The sequence below is a fragment of the Homo sapiens genome, chromosome 10 (genome assembly GCF_000001405.40).
Source record: "Homo sapiens chromosome 10, GRCh38.p14 Primary Assembly".
NCBI lineage: Eukaryota > Metazoa > Chordata > Mammalia > Primates > Hominidae > Homo > Homo sapiens.
This window is the reverse complement of record NC_000010.11, coordinates 129,821,328-129,841,145: the sequence shown is the minus strand read 5'-3', so window position 1 is coordinate 129,841,145 and position 19,818 is coordinate 129,821,328. Positions and strand designations below refer to the sequence as shown.

The window sequence follows — 19,818 nt, the reverse complement described above, 5'->3', positions numbered from 1 at the left end:
AGCACAGGGTCAATTAGCAATGTTAATATATGATATAGATTCTCGGGGAACCCCCCCCAAGTGTCTGTCGCTGATAATAATGTTATTTTTGGCCGGGGGGGGGATTTCAACAGTCGGCTACAGTCGCAATACAAGCAGCGTGTCCCCGCGAGGCTACGTCCCCAGCAGTACTCCCCAGCAGTCCAATTACAACACAGTCAGCACTAGCATGAATGGATATGGAAGTGGCGCCATGGCCAGTCTAGGGGTCCCTGGCTCGCCTGGATTTCTTAATGGCTCCTCCGCTAACTCTCCCTACGGCAGTAAGTGTCTGTTTTTGTCACACGTCATCACGCAGATTCATATTCACTACCGAGTCGAGTGTGTGCATTGCTTGGATGTTCTGTGATGTGAGCTACTGGATAAAAGGAAGGGTGGCCCTGGAGGCTGGGCGTCCAAATGGCGACCGTAAATTGACCCAAAACGGGCCCGATGTGATCTCATTGGAAACCAAAACAAAATCAGAACAAAATGGGCTGCTCAATTGGAAGGGAAAGTCCAGTGCAAAAGAGCTTGCCTGTTATCCAGAGCGTGGCCGAGCCAGACGCATGTCATGTTTTGTTTTCGTGCCCCTGCCCCCCCGTCCGAGGCGAGGCCTTTGGTGCCCTCTCGCCGTGGCGCTGTGCCGCGGCCGCGCGTGCTGACCGTGTTTGCTTTGTTGCAGTAGTGCCGTCCAGCCCCACCATGGCAGCCTCTTCGGTCACCCTCCCTTCAAACTGTAGCAGCACACACGGCATTTTCTCATTCTCACCTGCCAATGTCATCTCCGCAGTGAAACAGAAGAGCGCCTTCGCGCCCGTGGTCCGGCCCCAAGCCTCTCCTCCTCCTTCCTGCACCAGCGCCAACGGGAATGGACTGCAAGGTGAGGGTGGTGCGGGGCCGTGGGCCAGTGCTGGGTCCTCTCCAGGGGTGGGGATGGGAGTGGGGGTGGGGGCTCGGCCTTTCTCCTGGCACCTCTGTGACTGCTGCATGTTCTCCCGTGGCCCACCTTGATGCGTGCCACCTCTGCCTGGTGTTCACAGCGAGGACCCCTGTGCACTGAGCCCCAGAAAGGACCAGATTCCTCCTCTTGGTTTTTGTCCAGCTCACCCTTCCGACGGCACCTAGTGTACTTACGGTGGAGCACCCTGTGCCCCTAAGGGGGTGGGACCACGTAAGAGAAGGCGGGAGTGTGGTGAAGGTAGCTGTGGTCACTGTCGGTCTGATTCAGCCAATGGGCCTTTGCCCGGGGCCTGGCACTTCTCAGCGCAGGATGCTGCCCTGCCCATAGCTCCTGGGCTTGCAGCCTGCTATGCACAAAGCAGCGAAAATAGCCCTGGCATGGGAATGGCGGGGCACCATGCTACCTGTGGAGCCCATCTCAAAATCTGCTACCCTCGTTGTCCCGAGGCTGGGCCTTGGTTCTCCACCTTATCTGCTGGGCCACACATCCAGCAGGGCTGCACTGTCTTTTGGAAAGAGGTGTGCGTCTAGACCCAGGGCCAGGTGTGTACCAACACCAGGTTGCAGTCCTGTCTGTGGACAGGAGCTGATTTTCCTACGTGATCTCTTTCAAAGAATCAGGAGGGAGAAGGGCCGGCCCCGAGGGCACAGCTGTCCACAGATGAGGCCACACGGGGTGGGCACCCTGTGCCTGCCCAGCGCCTGGCCCATCTGAGCTGTGCAGGCTGCACGTGGCCTGTGATGTGTGTGACGGGCAGAGCCACATGGGTGCCCCCAGGCCTCATGAACTTGCGAGTGGCCCTTTGTGAGGTGCTGAGGCCCGCAGGCACTTAAATTAAGTGGCCGTCATCTGGCCTCTTTCAGACACCACCTTTGGTATATGCTCCTCCCAGTGACTCAAATCCAGTTACTCCTTTAGAAACATGAACCCATTCAACCAGTATTTACTGAGCACCTACTATGTACCAGGCTCTCTGCTGGGTGCTGAGGACGTAGCCGCGGAGAAGACAAACTGGCCCTTTTGTGAAGTCGGTGGCATATTTCACTTTGATGAACTAATGCTCAAAAAAGGAACTGGAAAGGTATCAGTGATTTGAAATCATTGTCTTCACAACATCCGTTAGCGTATGAAGGGACGCCCAGGCCCCCGAAGTGCCGCCGACTGGCCTGCGTGCCATCAGCGGGCACCACACCAGGGTCGTTGCAGAGGCAGGTGGTGAGGTGCCGCGGCCCTGCCCGTGACACGGGGTCGGGCCGGCTGAAAGACGGCACCTCCTACGCGGTGTGTACGCACAGGGCTTCCAAACCGTAAAGTTGTAACGGTGAGTCGGAGATAAATTAATATTGTTGAAATTAATGAACTGAGAAATTGAAGCTCACGTCACTACATGAACAAATGTATTAATATGTTATACATAAATTAATGAGAACGATCATTCTGACAAAAATTAAACAACACCAGCGGTAAAAGATTTTAAATTACATTCGTACCAGGAGTTCATGTGAAAGCGTCAGCCCCACTTGGCGTTTTCGTGCAAAGTTTTCTCTTCTTTCCTGAGAAGAGAAAAAAGGTCCCGAGGCGGTGCCATGACTCACGTCTCTCCGTGGCCCTTGCCTGGAGGTTCCAGGGCAGGTGGGCTGTGAGTGGCTTTGATTCTGGAGAGCCCCTGACTCACCATTACGATACAGAGAGATGACCGCACGGTCAGAGCCCAGACCTGGAAGCAGAGGGGGAAACTGAGGCCAGTCTGGTTCTCACATAGGGAGCGAGAGCAGGGCCTGTGAGCCGGCCTTGACTGGCGTCACGGGAGTGACCAGGCTGGGTCACCTCTCTCGACAGAGGGGGCTCCGGGCCTCCGTTGGCTTTGCACCTGTTGGCAGTGCACCGGTCAGTGTGGGGAAGCTGCAGCCTCTGCACACAGCAGTGCCAGGAGCCCTTCCCTTTTCCAAAAGAAGCCTTTAAAGAAGCCTTTGAGGAGGGCTGCAGGAGGGGCAGGACTGGGGGTTGTTGTCCCCACGTGTGCCCCCACCTCAGGAAGCAGATTCCCCAGCACGCCCTAACCACGCCCGAGGCTGGTGGACGGAACTGTGCAAGACCAGCCTCCCAGTTGAATAGGGGGGAAGGGCAGCCCCGCCCGCGTCAGCGTTGGCGGGAGGGCGCGTGGGGGAGCCTGCAGTAACTGCTCTGTCCTTCTGTCTTGCAGCTATGTCTGGGCTGGTAGTCCCGCCAATGTGAGGGACTTCTGTTTACCTTCCGCAGCACCCAGCATCAAAGGACGGACTTCAGGGGACACGTTTAGTATATTAAGACATGCTGATGGAAACAGTATCTTCAAAAAAATCAGCAGCAATTGAAATGCTACAAAAGACTTTGTTTAAAGATTTTATTTAAACTATTAAGAATCAACATGCAAACAGCCTACTTCTTCATGAACAATTCCATTTTATTGACTGAACTTTTCTCATATTTTCACATTTCTCAGTCCTGAAGAATAAGGAAAACAAAGCGACGCCTATTTTGTATAAAGTTTCCGACTCCGTCTTGGCCATGTCTAGTAATTGCTATGTGTTGGGAGAAACTTTGTGAATGCACCATTTTGATGATCATGAAACGCTGATGAAAAATGCCTCCAAACATTTTTCTGTACTCATACTTAGATTCACAATGGTTGTGTATCTCTATAATGTGAAATATTTTTTTGTGGTGATAAAAAGAGGGCCAAGGAGGTATGAGCCATCAGACTGGAAAAAAGGATGACTATATGATGAGGAGAAACTGGGGTGGCAGGGAGGGAGGGAGGGTTTATCACTGCTTAACTTCATCTTCATGAAATGAAACTTTGTAACTTATTGTAGTTAGAAATTGTAACTTTGATATTGAATTCTCTTGCCTTCAACAAGCACACTGACAGAGAAAAAATGCTACTGTCTGTTGGTTCCAATATTCTCCCACTGCTAGAGCTTCCTGTTAAGCAAGTGTGATCTGCAACATTTTTTCAACTTTTGCTAGCACTGTATACTATTGCATTCTTAGGCTACTGTGAGGTCTATGTTTCTTGTACCAGAAATTGTCCTTTTGACTTCTAGATCCTTCTTCCCTAATGTGTTTTGTATGTGGTTATAAAATTGTAGACTTTTGTGATTTTGCCAAAGTTGTAGCTAAATATTTATACACTTGTCTTGAATTTTTTTCAGATCCACTTAAAATATTTAGAAAAACAAGTTTTATTCCTTATGTGTCTTATAAGGAATAAAATGGTCTTCATTTGACACTTACTTTCCCATGAACACTTGCAGTTGCTAAGGGACTTTATTTTGTAACATATCAATTATAAATATTGTATTTATCTTTGAAATTTTGTACATTGCTTTTCCCACCTTTTCCTTTTTCTTCTTTCTTGTCTGTATTGGTTTTTGATCACGGCCTGGTGTTGTGATACTGGGAAGAGCATTAGCCAAGAACTTGTCTCTTTGATCTGTTTCGTTAAGCTGAACCAGTGTCTTTACATTTCATTTGTACTTCAAAAAATATGCTATTGTTTAGACTTTCCATCCTTTTTTTTTTTATTTTGAGGAAAAGTCAAATTCATTGTTTATTTTTATATTATTTTTAAGTTATCTGAACAAATACTTTTGAAAAAAAAGTTTGTTGTATAGTCAAAACAAATCGGTGCCACCCGGCCGTGACAAATCCTAGTAGATTCTGTGCATGTGGAGCGGCCGCGAAGAGGTGACACCGTTTGGGGCTGTGTCCTTATTTTATTTTATTTTTTTGTAGAATGTAAAAAGTCATTTTAGATGCCACCCATTGACTTTGCCACATAGCTGAACTGTGTTTACTGGAAAAATTCAGAGGCCTAAAGTTTAAAATAAAATTTACTTCTGATGTTTTAATTAAAATGTTTGCCACATTAACTTTTCTGATGCCTTAAAAGTGAACTTCTTTAAAGAACCTTTGTGCTATTTTATCACAGGCTTACACTACAATTGTTAATAAATACTTCATTTGGAGATGTATGGTGTAAAACACACAAACACACACAAAAAAGCACAAGCCCGCTGCATGACCCGTCTCTCCTTTCTGGGACTATTTCTGCTGCGTCCTGCACCCTCCTGGGCCCACCTCCGATTCACAGAGGTTTCAGGGGGACCCAAATCACTGCTGGTTTTCAATTTTTTTTTAACAATACATTTTTGTGGTCAGTTCCAACAGCACTGTCCGTACTTTTAAAACTGGAATGACCTCCTTCAGATATCGTGCCTCTTAGTGCCAAACCCACAGTGAGACCAAAAGTGTCAGGTGTTTTTTTTTTTTTCTTTCTCCTTTGCACTAAGTGCTTTGCAGACACGGCACAGCAAACATTTTGCAAACTGCAGCAGAAATCGAATTTAAAACAAAAAGGAGGGACTTTAAAATACCTTCTTGACAAAAATCAACAATGCACAACTTACAAAGTGTTCATTCTAGGGACAAAATTAAATAAACAGAATGTCCCCAGGAGTCAGCAGGTCACAGTCTGGCTTTGTGATGGTTGACAAGGTCTAGCTACATGGGAAAGCCTGAGAAGTCACTTTGGAACTAAATTGCCTCCATTTTATTTTGTACGAGTAAGGGTTTGATCTACAAAAGAGCTCACATGGACGCACTGAGAACGCCTGCCAGCTTCCCCATGCCCTCACTTGGTTTGTGTTTTAGGTTAAGTAGTCAATGCCCACATCACTTCACTGTCTCAAGACTGAGCACTTCACTAAATGGTAGATTTTACTGTTAAAGACCCTACAATAAGATTGTTTTATCTGTACATTTTTTCAGATATTTAACTGTATAAAAATGTTCATTTTACACAATATTTAATTAAAGTATTTCTTGTCTGTGAATTTCACTTTTGGTAATTTTCTCTGTTTTTGATTATTAAAATGACTAAACACTAACATAAAAGTTACATCAGGGGTTTCATTTGCACAGACCGGGTTCTGAAGCTGCAACTTGGCCAAGATAAAAATGTTCCACAGAGGAACTTTCCACAAAGTTATCCAGCCTCCGTCCTCTAACCTGCATAGAAAGAGAGGTTCAGCAAATTGTCACTTACGTGGTCCTGACCCCCAGAGGTGCCATCTGTATTCATGCTGCACTCTGGCTGATGTTTCTGTGTCACAGATGTTCTGTGGGCCACAGCAGCACTGGGGTGACACAATCACTGTTCCAGCACTTGTCTTTGAGAACTCAAACAATCCCAAGGCTCACTGAGGGGCTTCATAACCCACTCCCTCCAGACCTTCTGCCCCAGCCCCTCTGCTTCTGAATAGCGCACTGGGCAGGTAGAGAACAACGGCTCCGGTGACCCCAGACACATGCTTCTTTTGGTTCCATGGTTGGGTTCCACTGGGCAAGAACCAGGCTTAGAAGAGTGACACAGCAGCAAAGGCTCTGGATGGGTGTGCAGATACCAGGGCACCCAGATGCCTGCGCTGCCTACGTTCTGCAAGAGGGGCATCACGGATGCCACTGCCACCACAGTGGCACAGCAGACCCCATGCACTAGCCCCGGGCACTGCTGGCTGCAGGTCGGTAGCCAAATGCACCGACTATAATGAGATCTGCTATCAACACTGAGGTTCTAATTTACACGCCGATGTTCAGCTCCTCCGAGTTTCCCATGCTCCCATTTCACTCGGTATTTTTTCATTTTCTCCTCCATGAAAGGCTGGGTTTGCATGTTTTGGCTTGCAGCTTTATAACACATACACATAAGTGTGATCCAAATTAGTACTCACAAATGTCATCTTAATTACTTGTTCTGCTGAGCAAAACAGGAAACAATTATTCAAAACATAAAGAAACTTGTGAATACCTTTTTGTCGTGTCATTGACAATCAGGTTCTCATTTCAGCCTTAAAGAGACAGCAAAGAGAGAGGCTTATAAGGTACAAGCCTGAAGCCTGCCCACTCCCCTCCCCTGCAGGCTCCCTTCCAAGTGGCTGGAGGCTGGGGCTGGGGCTGGGACAAGCAGTGGCTGGGCAAGTCACCACCTTCCCATTCTGCGCTGGTGCCACAAGTACCCAACGCCCTGTAACCCGGGGATGGAGAAATTATTTTATGTTTGTGTTTCAAATCAGAAGCAAGAACTGCCTTCTTTCAAAATGCATGCCAATTATTGTCAGGCCGCCTTTTAAGGTCTTTCAAGCTTTTAAAGATTATTCAAAGCACTTGAAATGGGCTTCAATCTAATGCCTCATTTCATTGCATTAAACAGCCTAGTTAATAAAGAATCAATATATTCAAAGGGCAAGGTTATCTTTTGTCTATAAGGGGTGGTGTCATTCTGAACCTTTTATAGTTCAAATGCTGAAAAAGACCTCATGAAATCCATACTCATCAAGTGGGTCAACGCAAGCAGTAAAGAGGCCCCTGAAAGGGAAGAAAGGCTGCTCTCCTCTAAAACAACCCACGCCTTATCTCGCTTGCTCGGAGCGCCCAAAGAAGTCCTCAGAAATGTCAATTTCTCATCAAGACAAGAGGCCACAATGATCATTTTATCCAGAGAATACATACAATTAAGAGAATGCAGAGAGGCGGCGGCGGCAGTGATTTGTGGCTTACTCCGGCCCCACGAGCTGCGATCTCCCTCCCAGCAGATAAAAACAGTTGTTGATAACTGAAGTGTCAATATGCCGAAGAGTGATTTTTGAATGTGAGTCCTTGTGCTTTGAGCTCGCTGGGCCGATCCCAGGCCCTGATAACGGCGCAGCTGCCAACGGACACCACAGGTTGGCCCTCACAATTAATGCCATGAATAAATCACACAAAAGAGTTGGGATGCTTTATACTCAGTGAGACAATCCCCCGTTTTACCCTTCAAGGATTCCTTTTATGTTGGAATAAGGTTGCTTTTAATGAAATTTAAACTCATCAGAGGAAATCAAAAACCTCCAATCAGATTACAAATTGATTTTTTGGTCATTTGTCATGTCCCAGTGTAGAGTCGCAGATTTCACAGGGAGCGAGTTGCCATCGTGGCGGGGCTGGGAGTGAGAGTGGACGCAGCTCCCGCTCCCATCCCTGGCCTAGGGACAACCCGTGGCCGGGCTCCTTGGCAAGCAGAGGCAGCCCTGGTGACTCCGCCTGCCCCACTGAGTGCAGCCAACTGAACCTGTGACAATAACAGGTGCAATCATGGTGAATCCAGTGGCAGCTTTATAACCTGGGATGTCGTCCTTGGCAAAATTCACAGTGACTTCTAGGTCTGCACTCACAGATCCACGGATGGCCACAGAGACATGTTCTCTGGGGAGTGCCGTCAGTTTCGGTGAGTCCCCACCCCCGTGCCACCCCACCCCAGTTGGCTCTATACCACCCCACAGACAGCTGCACACAGGATACAGAAGCATGTGGGCCTCCCAGTCCGCATGTGCCAAGACCTTGAGATCTGGGCAGAGAGAATCTTGGCTAACTCCCATCCAGCATCCAGTGGAAGCCCCAGTGCTCTCCTCTGCAGAGCCTGCCCTGCCCCCCAGGCCACTCCAGGGTGGTGTCCCCCTGGAGAAGACTCGAAAGCATCTGAGGCCACCAGCCCCCAGCCTCCCAGTGGGTCTCCTGAGTGCCCTGGATGAACCTGCACCTTTCTCACCCCTGCATGGGGGCACCCAGTCAAGGCTGAGGGGGGAAGCTGAGGTCCTACTGAGTTTCTGGTACTTAGTGGGAATCTAGGAGGGCATTTTGTCCCTCCTGGAAAGACTGGGGCCAGGGACAAAGTGAGGGCAGGCACTACTTCAGGAGGAGGTGAACACTGTTTCTGATTCAAGATTCCTCAGAGACCATCTCTTAAATATAGTCTCCAAAGTGAGTCAAATATTCCACACATCTAACAGCAATACTCACCTTTGCCGCCCCTGATGATCTGCGGAGCACTTTATCCACATCGTCTCTTTTGTCCTCCCGCAAAGCTCTGTGCTGGAGCTGACTCCCCACTTCCAGGTGGTGAAACTGCAGTTCAGAAAGTTTAGAGGATGGGCCAGGGTCACCAGGCTGAAAGGACCAGGATCCGATGCCAGGGGACGTCTCCAATCTTCGAACCCTACCCTCTCTCCACTGATTTAGGTTTCAGGTATCTTCAGTAAGAAAGACTGGCCAGGCGCGGTGGCTCACGCCTGTAATCCCAGCACTTTGGGAGGCCGAGACAGGTGGATCACTTGAGGTCAGGAGTTCAAGACCATCCTGGACAACATGGTGAAACCCTGTATCTACTAAAAGTACAAAAAAATTAGCCAGGCGTGGTGGTGGGCACCTGTAATCCCAGCTACTTGGGAGGCTGAGGCAGGAGAATGGCTTGAACCCGGGAGGCGGAGGTTGCACCGAGCTGAGATTGTGCCACTGCACTCCAGCCTGGGCACCAAGAGTGAGAGTCTGTCTCAAAAAAAAAAAAAAAAAGGGAGAGAGAGGGAGAGAGAGAGAGAGAGAGAAGGAGGGGTATCTAAATGGAAGCAAGGAAAGAAGTCACACTTCCCTGATAAGATCCTAACCAAGCCACCCACACGGTTTGGAGGGCCTGACTCAGCCGAGGCCACCTGTGCAGGCCACAAGTGGAAACTAGCTTGCCCGGTGCAGCTCAGATGGGAGTCAGCGGGCCTTGCCTCAGAATATAACCAATGTCACACATCCATGCTCCCAAAACTGGAAGCAGAAGACCATGTCTCCCAGGGCCTTTGAAGCCACCAGGACACCTCGGAACCGCTGGCTCCCTGTGCTTTCCGTGGGTTTCCTGGGGTCCACATGGGGTCCACACATGCGGCTGGTGAGCCAGTGTGGGAAGGGTACACTGAGCCCATCCTATGGTGCAGGAGTGGGAGGGAGGTGCGGGAGTGGGAGGGAGGTGCGGGAGTGGGAGGCAGGTGCGGGAGTGGGAGGGAGGTGCAGGCTAGGACTGAGGCAGCCAGAGGGGCTGGGCTGCAAGGGGTTACACCTACAGCTGGCACCCAGCAAGGGCTCAATAAAAGTTAGCTTCTGTGACTGCCAACAAGGTAATAATGGGCTAAGGATGGAATGAAGAAGAGGAAAATAAGAGCAATCATGATTTGGAGGGTAGACTTGCAATGAATAACAACAATATCAAAGGTGTTGGCTAAAAAAGACACAAAGGGTCAGAAGGGGACCCAGGTATCTCTCACCAAGCTGCCCCATCAGACCACCCCCTCTCCCAACACTCCACATTGATGGTGGGCCATGGACAATGAGGGTGTTGGTACAGCTTGCTCAGCCATCACAGGGTTCATTAGCTAAGCCAAATATAGAACTTGTTTTTCCACCTATAAGGGACCAGATTCTTCACTGCCTGTGCTACTGTTGTGGGGCTGGCAGAACACAGGGCTGATGCAGGGAAGGCGCCATCAGGAGAGAGAGAAAAGATGCCTGTAACAATCTCAACAAAGGGTTTATATTCTTAATATACAATGAGCTTTTGCAAATCAATAACACTCAATGAACACCCTAAAGAAAAAAGAGGCAAATTTACAGTCCATTCACAAGGGAACAATAAAAGTGATCAATAAGCTTGGGAAATTATATTCAACCTCATTTAAAAATACATATCAAATTAAAATAATGAGATGAATTTTTTTAACCTATTAAATTAGAAAAGATTTTTCTTAAAAGCTAATACACAATGCTGTTGATGGAGGAAGGGTATTCTTACAGTTGTCGGTAGAAGAGTAAATTGGTACAAGCCTTCTGGAAATCAGTCTAACATATCAAGAGACTAAAAATATTCATATCCTTTTTACTAATTCCACTCCAAGGAATCAATCTGAAAGAAATAATCAGATATTAGACAAGACTTTTAAGTCCAAAATTGTTAGCTATGGCAATATTTATCAAAAAACTGGAAAGAACCCAAATGGCTCAAAATAGGAATTGGTCATTAAATTATGATATAGCCATTGTAATGGAATATTATATATTCTATTAAACCATAAAGATTGTTTTTGAAGTATATCTAATAAAATCGTCAACCTCAAATGACATAAAATTAGGTAAAACAAGCATATATATATATAATACTGTTTATGTAGAACGTAATTTCAATTTGTAAATTTCTATGTAGAGGGAAAATAAATAATATATAAAAATATACATATATTTAGAAAAAATACTAGTCAGAGTTACAGCAAAATTAACAGTAGGTATATCTGGGAGGTGAAAACTTACACATTACATTAATATTTTCCAAGTTTTCTTGTGAATAGGCAGGATTATGTGTTGGAGAACACTGCTCACTGTATCACTGTCTCACCACCCTGCCCTCCTACTACAGTGAACAAGGTAGCCGGGACAACTAACTCAGAGCCATCAGATTGGCCTAGAACACTGAGGCCTGATGGGATGGGCGTTGGTGCATGGCTACGGAATCTGAGCTGGGGCTTACATAGTGCTAAGACAGCAGACACCAGACTGGCAAGTGGGCAGGAAAGAGTAGAGGTGCACAGAGGTGTGGAGATCTGGATTTCATGGTCCAAAGGGGAGAGATCCCAAGGGAGGAGTTCCCATGAAGCCCCACTGAATTCCTTGCTCTGGCTTTCCCAGCATGCCTCTGGGGCCTGATACTATCTTCACTTTTATCTGAACTTCCTGGAGGAAGTTTCTGCTGCCTGCAACCAAACAGTTACTGACCAAGCAAATTAGGGGAAAAAAATATATTAAAATTAGCATTATAAGAGAACCAAAAATAACTTACAAGGTATGAGGTTTAATAAATACATTTAGCAAGATTAATGCATACAAGGTCAATATACAACTGTATTTCTATGACAATAACAGTATTTTTATAACAGGAATTTTAAAAATGCCATTTAAAAATTTTCAATGCCATTTACAATAGCATTAAAAACAGCAAATACTTAGAAAGCTACCAAAGTTATGCAAGATGTCTGCACAGGAAACCACAAAACTGTACTGAGAGAAAATTTTAAAATCTTAATAAATGAAGGAATATTCCATATTCATGGATTGGAAAATTACCTGTTGGGATGATGTCAACTCTTCCTCCCTAAACTGACCTATAGATTTAGTACAATCTCAAATTCCACTAGGTGCTTTTCTTAAAATTGATAAGCTGATCCTAAAATTTACTTGGAACTGTAAATGATCCAGAGCCAAGGCAATTCTGACAGAGACAGAGGCTGGAGGATTTGAACCACCCAAACCAAGACATCTTATGAGGCTGTAATAACTAAGACACTTTGGTATTAGAACAAGAACAGACAAATAACCTAATGGCACAGACCAGAAACAGACCTCCTATTCATGGTCACCTGATTGACGACAAAGGTGGCACTGAAATGCAGTGGCAGAGAGTGGCCTTTCCAATAAGTGGTGCTGAGGGTAGTAGAAACACACATGATAAAGACTGGATTATGCCCTTCTCACACACGTGAAAGGACAAACTCAGACGATTGGGCACCCTAAGATATGATGATTCCCCAGCTCTGAAGAGGAAAGGAATAGTGTGTAGAGACAAAGTGAACAGCTGATCTTAAACCAAGGTTAAGGGAACACCCAAGATCTAGCAATGAGCTGGAGCTATGAGCACCCAGTTGCCTTGGCAGGCTTGCAGGAGGGAGGACCTTTAAAGGGAAGGACAAAACCCAGCCCAGTTCCCCTCCAGCTGACTCCCTAGGCTTATTCACCTAGGGCTGCATCAATGCCTTGGACATGATGGAGACCCAGAACTTTGTGGCAGCTCTCACAGAGGAGTTGGTAAGAGTAGGCAACCTCAAAAGATAGCTGTTCTGAAACACCTTCAAAGAGCCCTATGGTTTTATTGTTAAAATAAAGATCTACATCAACAAAAAAATCCCATGTTCATGGATTCAAAGACAATATTGTTAAGATAACAACCAAAATTGATCTACAGATTCAGCGCAATCCCTATTATAATCACAGCTGGCTTCTTTATAGAAACGAATAAGCTCATCCTAAAATTCGTATTATATGGCACCAGACATGGAATAACCAAAAAACACTCTTGAAAAAGAACAAAGTTAAAAGATTCCCATATTTTGATTCAAAACTGACTACAAAGCAACAGCAATTGAGACATTGTGGTACTGGCATAGGATAGACAAATCAATGAAATAAAATTGAGACTCCAGAAGTATAATTATGTATCTATGGTCAACTGAGTTTTGACAAAACTGCCAAGGTCTTTCAAGGAAAAGAATAGTCTCTTCAACAGATGGTGCTGGACAACTGGAGGGCCACAAGCAAAAGAACAAAATTATATTTGTACCTCACACCACATAAAAAATTAACTTAAAACAGATCAAGGGCCTAACTGTAAGAGTTAAAACTGTAAAAACTCTTAGAAGAAAACAGGGGGCTCTTCCTGACCTCAGGTTTGACAATGGATGTGACACAAATCTTAGATGTGATACCAAAAGCATCAGCTGCACAAGAAAAATAAATACATCGGACTTCACCACAACTAAAAACTTCTATGTTTCGAAAGACACTATTAAGAAAGTGAAAAGACAACCCAAAGAATGAGAGAAACGATTTGCAAATCACTTATCTGATAAGGGACTTGTATCTAGAATATGAGAAGAACTCTTGCAAATCAATAATATAAAGACAAATCACTCAATTTAAAAATAGGAAAATGACCTGAATAGACGTCTTCTCAAAGAAGTTATACAAATCCCTAATATCCATGTGAAAAGATGCTCAACATCATTAGTCAGTAGGTAAATGCAAGTCGAAACTACAATGAGCTACCACTTCACACCCAGTAAGATGGCTGTAATAAGGAGGTCATAATAACCAGTGCTGGTGAGGATGTGGAGAAATTAGAAACTCACACATTGCTGATGGGAATCAGAAATGGTGTTGCCACTTTCGAAAATAGTCCAACAACTTCTCAAATGGTCAAACACAGAGGTCCCATATGACCTAGTATTTCCAATCCTAGGTGTAGACACAAGATAAATGAAAAACAGAAATTCACACAAAAACTTGCACAGGAATGTTTATAGCAGTAGTATTCATAATAGCTAAAAGGTGGAAACCACTCAAATGTCCATTACGACTTTTTTTTTTTTTTTTGACAGTCTCTCACTCTATTTCCCAGGCTGGAATGTAGTGGCACAATCAAGGCTCACTGCAGCCTTGACCTCCTAGGCTCAAACGATCCTCCCACCTCAGCCTCTTAAGTACTTGGGACTACAGGCATGCACCACCACGCCTGGCTGATTTTTGTATTTTATAAAGAGATGGGGTTTTGCTATGTTTCCCAGGCTGCTCTCAAACTCCTGGTCTCAAGCAATCCTCCCTCCTCAGCCTCCTGAAATGCTGGGATTACTGGTATGAGCCATCATGCCCGGCCATGAATGGATTTTTAAAACATTGTACATCCATACAACAGAATTATTATTCAACCATAAGAGGAATGACATGCAGAAACATGCTACGACATGGATGAATCTTAAAAACATTATGCTGAATGAAGGAAGTCAATAACCAAGAAACTCATATTATATGTTTTCATTTGTGTAATGTCCAGAACAGACAAATCTATGTACACAGAAAGTAGAAGAGTAGTTGCTTAGGGCTGGGGGACATGGGGTGATGGGGGTGACAGCCAAGGGGTATGTATGGGTTTCTTCCTGATGTGATAAAAATGTTCTAAAATGGACTGTGGTAGTTGTTGCCCTGTTTCAGTGAATATGTTAGAAAACCACTGAATTGCACACTTTAAATCAGTACATTGTATGGTATGTGAATTACTTCTCGATAAGGCTGTTACAAAAAATTAAAAAGCCCTGTGGTTTTATCAGAGCATAAAAAATGAACATTATCTTTCATGAAGAATCACTCTTAAGCGTTTTGATGTTCTGGGGAAACCATGTTTCCTGGAGCACATGGCCAGGACTCATGCTGCAGGCTGGCTGGCACATGGGATCCCCGGGCCCTCCTGAGTCTTTGTCCTCAGCTGGCCAAGACCCCACCACCACCTGCTCCCCAGGAGGGGCTGCTTGGTGTCCACACACCTTGGAGTGGGAAGGTGGTCTTGTAGGCCCCTATTGACCCCTTATCTCCAGACCACCAAAGTGGAGATCATGGCTCCCAATTCTTGCCTGGGGTGAGACCAAGGCAGGTCCACACTCTCCACAAGGTCCCGGCCCCACATGGCACCAGATGGGATAGCCTGCCCCTCCCCAGGTGGGATAGCCTGCCCTGTCCCCAGGTGGGATAGTCTGCCCCCTCCCCAGGTGGGATAGCCTGCCCCCTCCCCGGCCTGGACTCTGCCAGGGCTCTCTGGAGGCCACTCTTGGTCCTCTGTGGAACACACATACACAGAGCTTCTCGAAGGTCATTTCCAAATGACATGAAGGAAAAGTAAAATCCTTCCAGATGGCTTTTTAAAAAGAAGTTTCATTATTTTCTAAACATTTCAGAATAGTCAGTTCCACTATTTTTAACACAGTTCTTTTTCTTACATTTCTTTAAAACTTGTTGTCTCTTTCAGTTGGATCTCAGGAGTCTCAGCAGATGCCACCCCTGCCACCCTGCTCTGAGCCACATCAGTGCGTCCCTGGCGGATGGTGGCAGCCTCCTAACTGGTCCCCTCACTCCTGCCCTTGCCCTGCAGCTCTATCTCTCTGTGTCTTGACACCATAACCAGAGGGGCCCTTAAAATGAAAGGAATACCACTCTTGTCATACCCCCTCCACAGACCTTCCAAGGGCCACAAGGACACTGAGGGTCAGCCACTACCCTGCCACACCTCCCTCCCTCTGCTGCTGCAGAAGCTCCTGCTTGAGGCTCTGCGCTTGCTGTTCCCTCTCCCTGGAGCTCTCTTCTGCAAAAGCACCTGCTGTGCTCCCCAACTCACGTCTCACCCCCGGCCCAGGGAGGCAGCCTTGCCTGCCTGTCTAAAACTAACCCCCACCCCAAACACCACACATATACCTTCCCCTCTCCCTTTCATTTTATTTTTCTCCTTAGCACTTACACCATTTAATGAAATTCAGGTTTGACTTAATTAACTTCTGCACTGTCTCCCCATGAGAAGGGAAGCCCCGTGAGGACAGGGGCTGGTCTGCTTGGATTATTGCTGCATCCCCAGAACCCCAGCTTTTGCAAACCACATTTTCACAGAAACAGTGTTCCTTACTGTGTCTTCAACCAAGGCAAGGGTTCTTAACCTAGGGTCCATAAACTTGAATGAAAAACAAAAATTTAACTTTATTTTCACTAACGGCTATAAAATTCAGCATTTCCTTATGAGTATAGGCAAGAAGCCACAGTCATTTTAGCAGTATCAGATTGTTTATGGTTATCGTGACTTGGAGATTCTGGTAATAATTAGCTCAACTGTTCCTGGATTTTGTTTAATGCATGAATAATGAAGAAGCACATATACAATGATATCTCAAATTTTATTTGTAATGTTTTGCTAACTATTTAATAGAATTAATTTTTTCTGTGATTGTATGTATTTTATTTTGTGGACAATGAAAACAGTGTTCTGGGGAAGGGGTATGCAGGCTTCACTAGTCTGATTCAGGGGTCCATACACATAACAGAAGCAGGACCCTGGACCAAGGCATCTGCTTCTGTGCTCGAGGCACATGGCTCAATATCACACTACAGTGGTCCATTAATAATCCAGTTCTTTCATTATCTAGCATGGTTTTGCTCCACAGTGCACAGTTCTTGTGTTAGTTTACAATATACATTCATTAAAATTATAGAACTACATAAACAGAGCTCCAGACTTAGGCCTGACAGTCTCTGTGCAGGCCAAGTGGGTCATTCAATGCCAGCTCCATCCTGAGTATTTGTGGAGACCTTGTGGTAGGCCAGTCCTGAGCCAGAAGAAAGACAGGCATTAGGGCCAGGCGCGGTGGCTATGCCTGTAATCCCAGCACTTTGGGAGGCTGAGGCGGGTGGATCACAAGGTCAGGAGATCAAGACCATCCTGGCTAACAGGATGAAACCCCATCTCTACTAAAAAAATACAAAAAAAAAAAACAACATTAGCTGGGCTTGGCGGCAGGTGCCTGTAGTCCCTGGAGCTTGCTGTGAGCCGAGATTGCACCACTGCACTCCAGCCTGGGTAACAGAGCGAGACTCCTTCTCACCAAAAAAAAAAAAAAAAAAAAAAAAAAGGCAGGCATTAAACAGGTAATAATCCCCCCCCTTTTTTTTTACTTTCTTGTAATCCAGGCTTATTTCCCAAATAAAAGCAATGAACATGTATTTGGAGATAAAGGTTAATCCTCCTTATCCAAACTCTGCCTAAACCCCTTCAGCTTGCAGGCAGATGCACTATTACCAATGGGCTGTCAGTCTTTCTGGACCTTGTTTGAAGGACATTAAAAACAAACAGACATCTACATATAGTTGTAACACCATGAGACAATAATTTTTATATTATTCTCATCATCCTTCCCCCATTAGCACTTACACCGTTTAATGAAGTTCCCTGTCAGTACATGTAGATCCACCCCATCCTTTTTTGTGGCTGCAGAATAATCCATTGTACATATGAAACCACATTTATGGAACCAGTCCTCTGTTGAAAATTTTATATTCTTTGCTATTATTAAAAAGTGCTATGGTAACAAATAAGTAGAAAATGAAAAATTTTAAAGCTACCATTAAAAAAGATACCCCCACAGGATGGGCGTGGTGGCTCACGCCTGTAATCCCAGCACTTTGGGAAGCCGACATGGGCGGATCACAAGGTCAGGAGATCGAGACCATCCTGGCTAACACGGTGAAACCCTGTCTCTACTAAAAATACAAAAAACTAGCCAGGAGTGGTGGCAGGTGTCTGTAGTCTCAGCCACTCAGGAGACTGAGGCAGGAGAATGGCATGAACCTGGGAGGGGGAGCTTGCAGTGGGCCAAGATTGCCCTACTGCACTCCAGCCTGGGTGACAAAGTGAGACTCTGTCTCAAAAAAAAAAAAAAAAAAGATACCCCCACAATGGCAGCAAAACATCAAATATCTAGAAATAAATGGAATTTATTTATTCAAAATTGGTCCAGTGAAAACCCCAAAACATAATTGAGAAAAACATTTTAACAATCTAAGTAGTTGGAGAGATATACCATGTCAATGGATTAGAAAACTCATTATTGTAATTACCTAAATTTACCCCAAATTTACCCCAATAGATTAAACACAATCTTAATAAAAATGTTAGCAGGTTTAGTTTGATGAGCTGATTCTGAAATTTACAGATACATGCAAAGGGCTAAGGATAGCAACATAATCTTCAATAAGAATAAAACTGGAAAACTTAGACCATCACCCAGCAAGGCTTATTTTAAAGCTATCCTAATTAAAACAATGTATTATTGGTGCAAAGATACCCTGAAAGTTTAGTAAAATGGGTGAGAGTCCAGAAAGAGACCCAACATATGACAAAATGAGGCTGGGTCAACAAATGGTGCTGAGTCAATCAGCTTTATCTCTTGAAAAAAATAAAACTAACCCCTACCTTACACCATATAAAAAAGCAAGTCTAGATGGATTTCTAGCTGCATGTGAAAGATAAAACAATAATGTTTTTAGAAGAAAACATGGGAGAATATCTTTGTAACCTGGTGACAGGCAAAGATACACTAAACAGAAAACAAAAAACTTTAACCATAAAATAAATTGATAGATTGGATGACATTAAAATCAAGAAATGCTGTTCTTCAAAACGATATATTAAGAAAATGAAAAGACAAGCCACAGAGTGGGGAAAGACACTTGCAAGATATATATCTGACAAAGAATTCATATCAGAATACAAAGAACTGCATATCATCAAGAAAAAGCAGACAGTCTCACAGAAAAATGGCCAAAAACCTGAACAAGAAACATAAAGAAAATCATATATCCAAATAGTAAATTCACATCTTAAAGATGTTAAACTTCATTAATCGTCAGGAAAATTAAAATTAAAAGATCAAGTGATACCACTATATCTCTGCCAGAATGACTAATCTGAGAAAGTCAAACAATATCATGTTTTTGCAAAGATTGGGTCCACTGGAAGTCTCACACATTGCTAGTGGGAATTAGTGGGAATGTAAATTGGTAGAAGCACTTGAAAAAACTCTTTTGTAGCATCTACCAAAGCTGAACATTATGACTTGGCAATCTCACTACTAGGTATACAACCAACTGAAATGAGTACATGTATTCACTAAAGTACATGCATAACAAAGTTAATGGCAGCAGTATTTTTAAAAGCCACCAACTGGAAACATGGTGAACATGGTCACGGGTAGCAAAATATCTAAATAAAATTGTGTCATATTCATACAATATGAATATTGTACAAAATAATGAGAATAAATTTGCTATCATTACATGCATTGATATGAAATGAATCTCATAAACATAATGTCAACCAAAAGAAGTCAGACACAAAAGAGAGTGCACTATATGATTTCCCTTTATATCAAGTTAAAAATAGGCAAAACTCATCAATGGTGTGAAAAGGCAGAGTTGAGCTTACCCAAGCAGGGAGATAGTGACTAGGAGGAGGTCAGAGGGAGCCTGCTGGAACTTCAGATCAGGATTCAGGTAGGTTCACCTTGTAAATTGCATGGGGCTTGATGCTTATGGTTCTTGAATGTTGCAGTACTTAGTTCCTATTTTAATAAATTTTATATTTAAAAAGTGCCACAGAGAACACCCTTGCACTTGTATATTTGTGCATTAATCAGTGTTTCTTCAGGAAAGAGCCCCTGAAGTGGGGTTTTTGGCTTGTTAAATGTATACTTTACATTTGGGTAGGTGCGGTCAAATGTTCTTATTCACCAACATGTAAGAAAATCCCT

The 19,818-nt window shown here is 44.5% G+C and overlaps 1 protein-coding gene and 1 long non-coding RNA gene across 18 annotated transcripts in view; one reads left to right on the top strand and one right to left on the bottom strand.

Annotated features, from left to right (window-relative positions):
* EBF3 (EBF transcription factor 3) overlaps window positions 1–5,913 on the top strand; it is a 129,042-nt gene extending 123,129 nt beyond the window's left edge. For 4 of the 16 annotated variants that reach the window (XM_011539574.2, XM_005252667.3, NM_001375380.1 and 1 more), the window contains 4 exons: window positions 114–302; window positions 704–901; window positions 1,951–2,063; window positions 3,186–5,913. In XM_011539574.2, the coding sequence (XP_011537876.1) occupies window positions 114–302; window positions 704–901; window positions 1,951–2,063; window positions 3,186–3,203 (518 nt within the window). In that variant the 3' untranslated portion in view covers window positions 3,204–5,913. The other 12 variants (NM_001375390.1, NM_001375389.1, NM_001005463.3 and 9 more) reach the window with 8 other exon arrangements.
* The window catches only part of LOC107984281 (uncharacterized), a 67,711-nt gene continuing 53,712 nt past the window's right edge, over window positions 5,820–19,818 (bottom strand). The window contains exons 9-10 of one of the 2 annotated variants that reach the window (NR_186702.1): window positions 8,861–8,965; window positions 5,820–6,034 (exon numbers count right to left, since the gene is read on the bottom strand). This is a non-coding gene — a long non-coding RNA (uncharacterized LOC107984281). Of the gene's footprint in view, window positions 6,035–8,860; window positions 8,966–10,392; window positions 10,782–19,818 lie in introns of those variants that run through there. The other variant, NR_186705.1, reaches the window with a different exon arrangement.